General features: G+C 52.8%; 2 protein-coding genes across 7 annotated transcripts in view, besides 5 other annotated features; one reads left to right on the forward strand and one right to left on the reverse strand.

Moving 5' to 3' along the window:
- Positions 1–6,290, reverse strand: part of PRKAR1B (protein kinase cAMP-dependent type I regulatory subunit beta) — a 179,738-nt gene extending 173,448 nt beyond the window's left edge. The window contains exon 1 of one of the 4 annotated variants that reach the window (XM_047420607.1): positions 5,226–6,290. The gene's annotated coding sequence lies outside the window, so the exon portion shown is untranslated. Of the gene's footprint in view, positions 1–4,565; positions 4,638–4,945; positions 5,033–5,225 lie in introns of those variants that run through there. The other 3 variants (NM_001164759.1, NM_001164758.2, NM_001164760.2) reach the window with 3 other exon arrangements.
- The window catches only part of DNAAF5 (dynein axonemal assembly factor 5), a 59,777-nt gene continuing 50,848 nt past the window's right edge, over positions 4,055–12,983 (forward strand). For 2 of the 3 annotated variants that reach the window (NM_017802.4, XM_024446813.2), the window contains exons 1-2: positions 4,055–4,671; positions 7,019–7,203. In NM_017802.4, the coding sequence (NP_060272.3) occupies positions 4,077–4,671; positions 7,019–7,203 (780 nt within the window). In that variant the 5' untranslated portion in view covers positions 4,055–4,076. The remainder of the gene's footprint in view (positions 4,672–7,018; positions 7,204–12,983) is intronic. The other variant, NR_075098.2, reaches the window with a different exon arrangement.
- Positions 4,128–4,327: a silencer, noted in NCBI's record as "silent region_17816". NCBI's record gives its function as "represses an Ori minimal core promoter by ATAC-STARR-seq in GM12878 lymphoblastoid cells {active_cell/tissue: GM12878}" and the evidence as "EXISTENCE:reporter gene assay evidence [ECO:0000049][PMID:35858748]".
- Positions 4,578–4,627: a silencer, noted in NCBI's record as "silent region_17817". NCBI's record gives its function as "represses an Ori minimal core promoter by ATAC-STARR-seq in GM12878 lymphoblastoid cells {active_cell/tissue: GM12878}" and the evidence as "EXISTENCE:reporter gene assay evidence [ECO:0000049][PMID:35858748]".
- Positions 4,688–4,797: a silencer, noted in NCBI's record as "silent region_17818". NCBI's record gives its function as "represses an Ori minimal core promoter by ATAC-STARR-seq in GM12878 lymphoblastoid cells {active_cell/tissue: GM12878}" and the evidence as "EXISTENCE:reporter gene assay evidence [ECO:0000049][PMID:35858748]".
- Positions 4,838–4,917: a silencer, noted in NCBI's record as "silent region_17819". NCBI's record gives its function as "represses an Ori minimal core promoter by ATAC-STARR-seq in GM12878 lymphoblastoid cells {active_cell/tissue: GM12878}" and the evidence as "EXISTENCE:reporter gene assay evidence [ECO:0000049][PMID:35858748]".
- Positions 8,222–8,721: an enhancer, noted in NCBI's record as "H3K4me1 hESC enhancer chr7:770503-771002 (GRCh37/hg19 assembly coordinates)". NCBI's record gives its function as "activates a minimal SCP1, AML or CMV promoter by ChIP-STARR-seq in primed H9 embryonic stem cells {active_cell/tissue: H9 hESC(primed)}" and the evidence as "EXISTENCE:reporter gene assay evidence [ECO:0000049][PMID:30033119]".

Consider the following 12,983-nt stretch of genomic DNA (forward strand, 5'->3'; position numbering starts at 1 on the left):
GACAGGCGTGAGCCACCGCGCCCAGCTGGTTCTTATGACTCTGCTTTAAAATTCTTGGCAGATGATTCCAACATGTGACCTATCTTGGAATTTACATCCGTTACCTTACCATGTTCAGGTTGTGGCTTTCCTTGTTCTTGGTATGACAAGTGATCTCCAGATGTATCCTGGACATTTGGGTTACGATGTTTGCAGACTCCTTGTCCTACTCTATTCCACCAGGCAGTTGCTCTGTTCAGGTCCAGGGTGTAGATTGCAGCCTGTTTTTGTGGTCTGTCATTCCAACAGCAGTTTCGTCTTCAGAGCCCTGGCACTGCCCTCCTCGTCTGCTTTATTCTTCTGGCTCTCCTGGGACTGCTGCTCATTTCCCATGGGTGCTGCCTGCAGGGGTGAAAGGTACCTCCCTGGGCCGCCTGGTGTCACTGGGCTACCTTTTGCTGTGTCAGGACAGAACATGCTCGTTCTGGGTCTCTTTGTGCTAAGAGAGGAAGGGCAGATTTCAGGCTCCTCTGACACTACCTGTGCAGTGCAGACTGTCCACTCGAACCCCAGTTGCACAGCACAGGTTAATGCACCTGCAGCAGCTTTAAAATCGGCCCTGAAAGCAGACTGTGGGGTGAAGGTGGCAGCTACCCTCTAGGTCTCTGTTGGGCGTCCCCTTTCCCAGGGCTTTGGCCAGAGAGAGGAGGCTTTCCTTGGAGAATTTCTGTCTGTGCCTGTTGGCTGTTCTGGGCCACAGGCTTCCCTGGGGACTAGTGCAGGAACACATGAGAGAAAAAGAAAACCCAGGGGACCCACCACCTTGCTATTCCTCCAGTCCAGAGGTCTCCAGCCCGTCTGTCAACTCTCAAGCTCCTTTCCTCGTCGCCTGCTATGTGCAGGGTATTTTGTTGTATTTCAATGGGAGGAGCAAGGAAAAGTGAAGTCCCACCACCGTAATTCAAGCGCTTATTCTTTCTCGTCTTCAGCACTCACTGCCACAGCCTTCCCAGGGCTCCCGACCAATCCGTTCAACGGAAGCCAAAGGGGTCCTTGAAAAATGCAGACTCGATCTTGCCAATGCTCCCACCTTGAAATCCTCAGTCTGCCATGTTTTAGGACAGAGGCCCCCATGGCCTGGCCCCACCCATCTGCTCACTCCCTGCCTGCTCCCCTGTGACCAGGGTCAGCCTCCCTCCCTGTTTGCTACCTGAGGCTGCCGTAACAAAGCACACCAGGCTGGGCAGCTGAATGAAACAAATTTGATTTCTCAAGATCAGGGTACGGGCTGGCTCCTCTTGAGGTCTCTCTTCATGCTCATACTGCATTCTCCCTGTATGCACGTCTATCTCCAAAATTTCTCCTTTTATGAGGACAGCAGTCATATTGGATGAGTGCCCAACCTCATGACCTCATCTCACCTCAATCACGTCTGCAAAGACCTTGTCTCCAAACAGGATCACTTCCTGAACTATGGGGGTTAGGACTTCAGCATATGAATTTTGGGGAGACGCCATTCAGCCCGTAACACTCCCATGAGGCCTTTGCTCATGCTATTTCCTCTCTCTCCAACACTCCCCGTCTCCCACCTCCGCCCTTTCACCTGGCTATGTGACATGGTTTGGCTGTGTCCCCACCCAAATCTCATCTTGAATTGTAGCTCCCACAATTCCCACGTGTTGTGGGAAGGACCCAGTGGGAGGTAACTGAATAATGGGGGCAGGTCTTTCCTGTGCTGTTCCTATGATGGTGAATAAGTCTCACGAGATCTGACGGTTTTATAAGGGGGAGTTTCCCTGCACAGGCTCTCTCATTTTCTCTTTGCCTGCTGCCATCATGTAAGATGTGACTTGCTCCTTCCCGCCTTCGGCCATCATTGTGAGGCCTCCCCAGCCATGTGGAACTGTGAGTCCAGTAAACCTTTCCCTGTATAAGTTACCCAGTCTCGGCCATGTCTTTATTAGCAGCGTGAAAATGGACTAATACACTGTGTTTACTTATTCTTCATATTTCACCTCTGCTACCATTTGTTCAGGGAAGCCTTAAAAGTCTAGTTCAACATCCCTTGACACTCATTCTCTCAGGACCACCACGGTTAAACACATACTAATTTATCCTTCCATTAAGGGCTATCTCATCCTGCAAGACCCTAAGATCTGGGAGAGCAGGGACCATGGCCAGTTTCTACATCATTGTCATCCTGTCCCACATGTTGCAGACAGTGCCTGGTCAAACAAATGCCTGTTGGAGGAAACAATGAATGAAGGTTACTGAATATGCTACATAACAACTTTTCAGAAGTACTGATGGGCCGGGCGTGGTGGCTCACGCCTGTAATCCCAGCACTCTGGGAGGCTGAGGCGGGCGGATCACGAGGTCAGGACATCGAGACCATCCTGGCTAACACAGTGAAACCCCGTCTCTACTAAAAATACAAAAAATTAGCTGGGCGTGGTCGTGGGCACCTGCAGTCCCAGCTACTTGGGAGGCTGAGGCAGGAGAATGGCATGAACCTGGGAGGCAGAGTCTGCAGTGAGCGGAGATCGCGCCACTGCACTCCAGGCTGGGCGACAGAGCAAGATTCCATCTCAAAAAAAAAAAAAAAAGACGTACCGACAAACACCACCATTTTGCAACACGAAGATCAACAACAAAAAAGAAGGTCAAACTTGAAGTTCTGTCCTAAAATTACACACATTCTGCCTTTAGAAAACTCAGTGCATGGTCACAGATGAGAAGTGCCTGGCTAACCAGACTTGGGGACTCCTGGTTTGCAGTGAGTGCTGTCAAACTCGCGTTCTAGGCTGGGCTCACAGCAACTCCGACTCCAAGCTGTTTAGGCGCCTCTGTCTCCACTCAAGTCCACAGTCAAGGTCACTACTGTGAAACACTGTCTTGCTTTTAATTTCCAAGCTGCCTTGTTATTTCTTGGGAGTAGGCCAAGCTAACTTTAGGAGGAACTTAGTTTATAGTTTAACTTTGAAACAAAGATGATAACAGCCCTTTCCTGAAGCCAACCTCCTTCTTGCCTGGGGACCAGAATGCTTTTGTAAGACTAACACATGAGCCACAAGATTAGAAATTGTGGTTTGAGTCATGCAGCTAGAGGCCACAAGATTCCAAACCTCCCCAGTTGCTCCTTAGGATAACACCACTATCATCAACTCTAAGATTGGTGCTCAAGATATTTTTCAGGCTCTGCATTCTGATGCACCAGGTGCCACCACCCACACCACTAATCTGGCTCAACCAGTTCTGTGATCCCACCCAGGAACAGAAGACAGCAAGAGAATCAACTTTGACTCTCCATGGTTTCATCTCCAACCCGACCAATAAGCACTGCCCTCTCCCTGGCCCCCTACCTGCCTAATTATCCTTAGATGACCCATCTCAGGATTTTCAGAACCTGGTTTGAGCAATAAAGCTCCAGTGTCCTTTAGCCAGTTTCTGCATGCAGCCAGTTTCTGCATGCAGCCAGTTTCTGCATGCATTAAACTCTCTATTGCAATTCCCCTGTCTTGATAAATTGGCTCTACCTGGGCAGCGAGTAAGGCGAACCTATTGGGCGGCTACGCCTGAGATCTAATGACAGGCTGCACGTGAAGCCCAGACCAGGCACCTGTCTTACACCACAGGGGGATCCAGTCCACAGAACCAGCGTCCTTCCCTCCTGGAACGGACCTTCCCAAAGCCAGAGGGGCTCTAGGCGGCTCAAACAGGGGCTTCCCGGCTACCCTGGTCCCAGGCGGGACCACTCAGGTTCCTTCTCCAAGCCCCCTAGGCTGCAGGGCAGGCTTCCCTAGGGGCAGGCCCAGGCCTATAGCCCGGGACCCGCATCCCGGGCGAGCTGCACCCTCCCGAGACCTTCCCCATCTGTACAATGGGGACAGGACAAGGCCCAGCAGGCAGGCTGGCGGGGGTTCCGGCGACAGAGGGGGACAGCGGGCGAGCACGACAAGAGCACAGGCCCACGTGCGCACCGGCGGGGAGGAAGTAGCCCGGCGCCCCGCCCGCAGCGCGGACCGGAAGTGCTGCCGTAATCTGCGCTGAGAGTCGCGAAAGCGCTGTTCCCCTTAGTGACCGGCGACGCGGGCAAGATGGCGGCGCTGGGGGTGGCGGAGGCCGTGGCGGCCCCACACCCGGCTGAGGGGGCCGAGACGGCTGAGGCGGTGGAGCTGAGCCGCGCCCTGAGCCGCCTGCTGCCGGGGCTGGAGGCCGACAGCAAGCCGGGCCGGCGGCGCGCCTTGGAGGCCCTGCGGCGCGCGCTGGAGGAGCCAGGCCCTGCCGCCGACCCCACCGCTTTCCAGGGCCCCTGGGCGCGCCTACTGCTGCCGCGCTTGCTGCGCTGCCTGAGCGACCCCGCCGAGGGCTGCCGCGCGCTGGCAGTGCACCTGCTGGATCTGGGCCTGCGCCGCGCCGCGCGGCCCCGCGATGCCCTGCCGCGCCTGCTGCCCGCGCTCGCCGCGCGCTTGGCCGGCCCCGTGCCCGCGCGCCGCCCGCCCGAGGCCTGTGAGGAGCTGCGCCTGGCGCTTGTGCAGCTGCTGGGCCTGGCCGTGGACCTGTGCGGCGCCGCGCTCGCGCCCCACCTGGACGACGCTCTGCGCGCGCTGCGCTGCTCCCTGCTCGACCCCTTCGCCGCCGTGCGCCGCGAGAGCTGCAGCTGCGCCGCCGCCCTGGCGCAGGCCACGCCCGGTGAGCACCCCGGGCCCCGCTCCCACACGCCACCCCACACTCTCACCCCCACCTCCACCTCCGCGGCCCCTCTCACAACCCCCGCGGCTCGGCCCCGCCCCCCTCCACGCCCGCACCCCCCAACATCCCGGACCCCCCATGCGCCGCTTCCCCCACCCGCCTGCCCCAAAGCACCCCGCCCGGCCCCCTCCTCCCACCACCACTGCTTCCCCTGCCTCACGTCCCGCCACCAACGCGCCCTTCAGCTGCTCCCTTGTCCTCTACCCCCATGTACCTGTTTCCTGCGCTGCCACGTGCTCCTTGCCCCGTGACCCCTGTTCCTGCTTGGCCCTCACTCACCTCACTCCCCTGTCCCCTTGCTCCCCGCCTCCACCCTCCACGCCCCAAGCCCCGCCCCCCACCTGCCTGCTCCCTGTGCCCCCTCCACCTGCCTATCCTGTGCCATCCTCCTCCTTGCACGCCGCCCTCCCGCGACCCTCACCTCCCACCCTCCTCCCTGCCTGAGCCCCCTCCACCCCACCCGGGCCCACGAGCCAGCGCTTCTGTCCAGATACCTGGAAACCACCGCAGAAATTCCTGTTAGGCGGTTTGGGGTGGGGTGTGCCCTGATAGCTGCCCCCTTTCCTTCCCTCGGGGGCTTGCAGGACTTGCACCTGGTTGAGGGCACGCGCTTTGAGACTCTGCTCTGGTCATTTCACTTTCTGTCCCATTCATCCTACTCCCCTGCCTTTCCGCTCTGGCTTGGACCACTGTCCTAAGTGGAAGGAGGCCGCTTCTCCCCTCCACTTTATAACGTTCCCCATCTTTTTTAGAGCTCTGATCTGATCCGGTCGTTCCCTTTCCTTAGCTGGCCATTCCTGCAGGGTCTTGCCCTTTCCCTCCCCTGGCTGGGATGTGGAATGATAGCAGGCGCCTGCTTCCTGCTGGCGGGAAGGCTTTCCGAAGGAGGGAACACTGATGCTATAAATCCGTGGGCGGTAGGGAGCAGGAAAGCAGTGAGGGATCTGGCCAGCTCAGGCCGTCCCAGTGATGTCCCAGTGATGGTCTGAATGTAGTGGGAAGTGCAGGGGGTGTCAATAGAAGTGATAGACCCGAGTTCAGGTTGTTAAAAGATCACTGCAGCTGCGTGGAGAATAGATTCCAGAAGTAGAGGAAGAGCTGGACTTGGGGAAATGCCGAGATTTCCACGTTGGTTAACTTTGGATTTCACATGGTCCAGAACTCCTGTGGAGCTTGGGGAAGAACCTTGGGCTGGATGGACATGGCCATTGAGAATTCCTGGCATTTAATGTATTTCTTCTTCATCCTCAACCACTTCCCTACCCAGTCTGTACATCAGCCCCACGAGCTCCCTCCCTGGACCGTAGGTTCCACAGGACAGCACTGTGCCCATCTGTGCCCCAGCCCCAAGCGCAGCCTGCTGGGGTATGTGCTCACTGGTTGCTGTGGGGTGAGGGACTGTGCCTCTGCCTGGAGCATCCCCTCATCTCCAGCACCTCTGGCCTTCCTCTCCCCTGGGTGGGGGGCCTCACCTCTGGTCTCGGTCACACTGGGCAACGGCAGAGAGGTTGAGGCGCTCACCCAAAGTCTCACTGGAATAGCCGTTTCCCAGACGGGCCCCAAGTAGTGCAGAGCTGAGGCAAGAGGCGGCCTGGATGCCAGAGACCCTTTGGTTCTGACTTTTTTTTTTTTTTTTTTTGAGACAGGGTTTCACTCTGTCTCCCAGGCTGGAGTGCAGTGGGGCGATCTCAGCTCACTGCAACCTCCGCCTCCTGAGTTCAAGCGATTCTCCTGCCTCAGCCTCCCAAGTAGCTGGGATTACAGGCGCCTGCCACCTCTTGTTCTGACTTTCTGCGGGGACTTTACAAATAGGAAGTGCAGTGGCTTTGCCTGGAGTGGTGCTGGCCCAGCTTCCTGGAGGAGCCTGGGGTCTCGTCTCAGGTGGGGCTGGGAGTGTGGCCTCGCCTCTGTCTTCTGGGCTCGGCTTCTTTCCTCTGGCCAGTGTCCCCGTCAGGCCTCCACCTTGGCTTCAGCAGGTCCAGGCTCTCTGGTCTTCAGCCACAATGGGTTTGCACCCCCAGCCTTTCCCCGCTGGTCCTCCTAAGCCTCTGGGTTGCACAGGTGTCATCAGGGTGGGACGCTTGTCCCTGAGCCTCTTCCTGTGCCGGGCGGTACAGAGCTCTCCTTGGCAGCCTGGATTGTGTACTGTTCATGCAGCAAGGACCTGGCGTAGGAGAGGAAGGGAGGTGAGGAACTCATAGGCAGGCAGCCGTCCTCTGGAAGCCCACAGAGCTGGGCGAGGCGTGTGGGAGCAGCTCTGGTAACTGGGGGCCTCCCTGTCCCTCAGACCACTTCCACATGCAGTCGGAGTCTCTGATCGGGCCCCTGATGCAGACCATCTCCCACCAGCACTGGAAGGTCCGTGTGGCCGCCATTGAAGCCACAGGCGCAGTGATCCATTTTGGCAACGGGAAGTCCGTGGACGACGTGCTTTCCCATTTTGCTCAGCGACTGTTTGATGACGTCCCGCAGGTAACTGGTGTTTCTCCTGGACAGTCTGTTCCTCTCTCCAACACAGGCGGGCTGACGTGCTGTTTTTAACTAACTCACTTGTTCTTTTTTCAGAGTGCTGTATGCACCAAATGTCCTTTCATTATTCCTAGTCACAGGACGTTCCTGTTCACATCTTGGAAAAACTAGAAGAGAGCTGAACTGTTTTAATGTTTGATGTTATGAATTCCAAGGATGTTAGAAAGGATGACTTGTGTAGTTATTGTCTCTTAGGCACAGTGTGCACTTCAGCAGTTGCAGAAGGTTCCTTAGTGCTCCCATCCATCAAGACGCACTTTCCCGAAAAGCCACCATGGTTGGTGGACCTGGACTGGGAGAAGAGTGGAGTCGGGGTTGGTTTGTTGGGGATAATTATGTCGTTGGGCTTTGGAACCCACCAAGAGACGGGCAGGCAGGCAGGCAGGAGTCCTACAGATGGGGCTGAGTGTTGGCTTTACTGCTGGCAGAATCTGGCCTGGAGGGCATGTCTTGGATCTGAGGCCCCAGTGACTTGCTAAAATGCTACACACTGTGGCCACCGGGGAAGCTGAGTGACCTCTGATCTTTCTGTCTCTGAGTTACCTGTCATCGTAGTCAGACATGTGATCTTTTGTGTCTGGCCTCTTCACTGTGCATGGTTCCAGGTTTCAGCCTTGAAGAGGTAGGTTTCCTGATGAGAAATGGCTTGAAGGTGGTGAGTTGAAGAGTCACTCGGGGTATTCTGGGGCCAGGATGGAAGCCCTGACTCGCTCCCTCGTCTGTGCTGCTGGGGTCCACCCGTAGGGCCGGCTCCAGGTGTGACATAGCACCTGCTCAGGACACCCCTGCTTTGCCTCCATGGCCAGGCTTCATTCTCCGGCTCTCTCCCTCCAGCAGCAGAGTGGCTGCCTAGGGGCTGTGCGCAGAGACACAGGGGGACCCTTTCCCACCAGGAGCCTTTGTTCACCCCCCTTGGTCTCATCAGGCCAGCGGAAGTTGAGTCACCATGTACGCTGGCCGGCCCCTCCTGGAGCTGGCGTGGGTTCGGCACCAGGCAGCACAGAGGGCCCCTGAGGACATCAGGCTCTGCCCAGTGGGGAGAAAGTGGGCAGAGTGCGGGGTCAGTGTCCATGCTGCCCGGCACTTGCAGCAGGCACTTCTGGCACTGGCTAAATATTTGGGCTGCGGAGGGCAGTTCAAGGGGCCAGGGCAAGAACAGAGCCCAGCAAGAAGTGCAGGCGGCCGGCTGGTTTTTCTCTCCCACCTTCCTTAAGCCTGAGGCAGAGCATGGCCCACAAGGAAAGTGGAGTCTGTGTCATGGGCCAAGTCTTACTCCTCAAAACAGTGTGATGACTCTGTATGGAGAGCTCTGTGTGAATACTGAAGCTCCATAGCTGATAGCTGTCGGTGTAAGCCTACTGTCACTGTCTAAAAATAACCATCACTGTCTAAAAATACCGTCACTGTCTAAAAATACCATCACTGTATCGATAGCTGTCTGTAAATACTGGAACTCTGTGGAGCACGCTCTGTAAATACTGGAACTCTATTGCTAGCTGTAAACGGTGTAACTCAGTATAACTATACCGTAACTCTAAAAATACCATAACTATGTGTCGACAGCTGCCTATAAATGCTATAACTGTATTGGTAGCTATGTATAAGCAGCCTACTCTGTATCAATAGCTGTCTGTTAGAAAGCTGACATCACATTGTTGATCTAAAGCAAGCTTGTCCAACCTGCGGCCCGTGGGCCACATGCAGCCCGGGACGGCTTTGAATGCTGCCCAACACCAATTCATAAACTTTCTTAAAATGTTACGAGATTGTTTTTGTGATTTTTTTTTTTCTTTTAGCTCGTCAGCTATCATTAGTGTTAGTGTTATTTTATGTGTGGCCCAAGACAATTCTTCCAGCATGGCCCGTTTCTTCCCAATGGGGTTTGCGTCCTATTAGAGACCCTGCACGGCCCTTCACGTGAGTTTCGTGTGGAGTCACGGTGCTGCCCCTTTTACTCTGATCAGCCCTGCGACCCCGTCCTGGAGCTCCATGTGGGCTCCTTGCAGACACCTCCACCCCCTCAACAACCCAGGGACTGGTGCCCTGGGACCCCATCCTCTCTGCACAGAAGGTCCTGACTGCCTTCTGACTCGTAGGAAACCTTCCAGCAGCCTGCTAGACTCGGCTTAAATCACTGAACTTCACTGGAAGGGCCTGGAAATAACTTCATCTCCTCCTTACAAGGCTCAGAGGCCTCAGAGCTCACTCAGGTAGCACAGCCAGGTGAGCCTCAGAGCAAGGTCAGGACACAGGCGGTCTAGCCGCCCTGGAGCCTTAGGCCCCGGGATGGTGTCTGAAGTTGTGGAAAGGGGGTGTCCCAGTGCGGCAGGGGCTAATGCATCTCCCCACGCTCACATGACTGCAGCTCCGAGCCCAGGACACTGACCACACCCAGAACCCCGGCGAGGCAGGCAGGACGGACGTATGGCCGTGCAGTTGTGAAGCAGGCCTTGAACAAACTGCCCTGTGCCGCCCTCAGGTGGGTGACTCATGGACTTCGCCCTGCAGGGGTGCCCTGGTTGTCGCCAGGCCTGCAGTCGGCAGCTGCTCAGCTTTGCTGCAGTTTTCCTGCTCGATGTGTGCTGCTGGTGAGGCCACCAGGCCTGTTCTTGTCAAGAGAGACCTTCCGGGAGCAACAGATGTTACAGGAGAGACTGGGGATGCATGGACAGCTTTTCAGAGATGAGTGTTTGTCACGTTCCTGCCAAGTACCTGTTTGCCATTTGTATGCCTTCTTTTGAGAAATGTCTATTCAGATCTGTCCATTTTTAAATCGCGTTATTAGATTTTTTTCTATTGAGTTTGAGCTCCTTATGGATTCTGGTTGTCAGTCCCTTGTCAGATGGGTATTTGTGCAGCTGTTTGCTCCCATCCTGTGGGTTGTCTCCTCACTATTGATTGTTTTATTTGCTGTGCAGAAGCTTTTTAACTTGATGTGATCCCATTTGCCCAGGCCATGTCCCAGAGAGTTTCCCCAATGTTTTCTTTTAGTGGTTTCATAGTTTGAGGTCTTAGATTGAGGTCTTTAATCTATTTTGATTTGATTTTTGTACATGGTGAGAGATAGGGGTCCAGTTTCATTTTTCTGCATATGGAGTTCCAGTTTTCCCAGCACCATTTATTGAAGAAACTGTCCTCTCCCCAAGATATGTCCTTGGCACCTTTGTCAAAATAAGTTCACTGTAAATGTATGGATTTAATTTCTGGCTTCTCTATTCTGTTCCATTGGTCTGTGTGTCTGTTTTTATGCCAGTGCCAAGCTGTTCTGGTCGCTGTAGCTCTGTAGTATAAATTGAAGTCAGGTAATGTGATCCCTCCAGTTTTTTGTTTGTTTTTGTCTTGTTTTGTTTTTTGCTCAGGATGGCTTTGGCTATTCAACGTCTTTCGAGGTTCCATATAAATTTAGGATTATTTTTTCTATTTCTGTGAAGAATGTCATTGGTATTTTGATAGGGATTGCGTTGAGTCTGTAAATTGCTTTGGGTAGTATGGACATTTTGGGTAGTATGGACAATATTGATTCTTCCAGTCCATGGAGTATGTTACCATTTTTTGTGTGTGTCCTCTTCAGTTTTCTCATGTCAGTGGTTTATAGTTTTCTTTCTTTTTTTTGAGACAGTCTCGCTCTGTCATCCAGGGTGGAGTGCAGTGGTGCGATCTCTGCTTACTGCAAGCTCCGCCTCCCAGGTTCACGCCATTCTCCTTCCTCAGCCTCCCGAGTAGCTGGGACTACAGGTGCCTGCCACCGCACCTGGCTAATTTTTTGTGTTTTTAGTAGAGACAGTTTCACCATGTTAGCCAGGATGGTCTCAATCTCCTGACTTCGTGATCCGACTGCCTCAGCCTCCCAAAGTGCTGGGATTACAGGTGTGAGCCACTGCGCCTGGCCTTATAGTTTTCATTGTAGAGATCTTTCACTTCTTTGGTTAAGTTAATTCCTAGGTATCTTATTTTGTTTGTAGCTATTGTAAATGGAATTACTTTCTTGATTTCTTTTTCAGATTTGTTAACTGTTGGCATGTAGAAATGCTACTGGGGCTTTTTTGGTGATTTTGTATCCTGCAACTTTACTGAATTTGTTTATCTGTTCTAATAGGTTTTTTGTGGAATCTTTAGGTTTTTCCAAATGTAAGATTATATCATCTGCAAACAAGAATAATTATCTTCCTTTTCAATTTGGATTCCCTTTATTTTTCTTGTCTAATTGTTCTAGCTAGAGCTTCCAGTACTGTGTTAACTAACAGTGGTGAAAGCGAGCATCCTTGTCTTGCTCCAGATTTAGAAGAAAGGCTTTCAATTTTTCCCCATTCAGTGTGGTACTAGCTGTGAGTCTTGTATATGGCTTTTATTGTACTGAGGTGTGTTCCTTCTATACCCAGTTTTTTGAAGATTTTTATCATGTAGGGATGTTGAATTTTATCAATACTTTTCAGCATCACTTGAAATAATCACGTAGTTCTTGTCCTTCATTCTGCCGATATGATGTGTCACATTGATGGATTTGTGTATGTTGAGCCATCCTTGCATTCCTGGAATAAATCTCACTTGGTCATGACAAATGATCTTTCTCATGTGCTGTTGAAACAGTGGAAACTTTGCGTCAGTGTTCATCAGGGATATTGTCCTGTAGTTTTCCTTTTCGATTGCATCTGGCTGGTTCTGGTATCAGGGTAGTACTGGCCTCATAAATTAAGTTTGGAGGTATTCCTTCCTCTTCTAGTTCTTGGAATAGTTTGAGTAGGAGTGACATTAGTTCTTTAAACGTTTGATAACATTTGGCAGTGAAATATTGCGACCCGGGCTTTTCTTTGCTCAGTGGCTTTTCATTGCGGCTTCAATATCATTACTTGTTACTGGTCTGTTCAAGGTTTGGATTTATGATTTAATCTGTGTAGGTCATATGTGTCTAGGAATTTATCCATTTCTTCTAGGTTTTCCAATTTATTGGCATATAGTTGCTCACAGTATAGTTGCTCACAGTGTAGCTGCTCACGGTGTTGCTCACAGTGTCGTTGCTCATATTGTAGTTGCTCATATTGTTGCTCATAGTGTTGTTCTTCATGGTATAGCTGCTCACAGTGTCGCTGCTCACGATGTCATTGCTCACGGTGTAGTTCATGGTGTAGCTGCTCACGGTGTAGCTGCTCACAGTGTCGTTGCTCATATTGTAGTTGCTCATACTGTTGCTCATGGTGTTCTTCATGGTGTAGCTGCTCACAGTGTCGCCACTCACGATGTCATTGCTCACGGTGTAGTTCATGGTGTAGCTGCTCATGGTGTAGCTGCTCACGGTGTAGCTGCTCACGGTGTCATTGCTTATATTGTAGTTGCTCATACCGTTGCTCGTGGTGTTGTTCTTCATGGTGTAGCTGCTCACAGTGTCGCCGCTCACGATGTCATTGCTCACGGTGTAGTTCATGGTGTAGCTGCTCACGGTGTAGCTGCTCATGGTGTCGTTGCTCATATTGTAGTTGCTCATATTGCTCATGGTGTTGTTCTTCATGGTGTAGCTGCTTACAACGTCGCTGCTCACGGTGTAGTTGTTCATGGTGTAGCTGCTCCCGGTGTAGCTGCTCATGGTGTCGTTGCTCATATTGTAGTTGCTGATATTGTTGCTCACGGTTTTCTTCATGGTGTAGCTGCTCACAGTGTCGCTGCTCACGATGTCATTGCTCACAGTGTAGTTGCTCACAGTCTCTAATGATGCTTTGAATTTCTGTAGT

Source organism: Homo sapiens, chromosome 7, assembly GCF_000001405.40.
Source record: "Homo sapiens chromosome 7, GRCh38.p14 Primary Assembly".
Taxonomy (NCBI): Eukaryota; Metazoa; Chordata; class Mammalia; order Primates; family Hominidae; genus Homo; species Homo sapiens.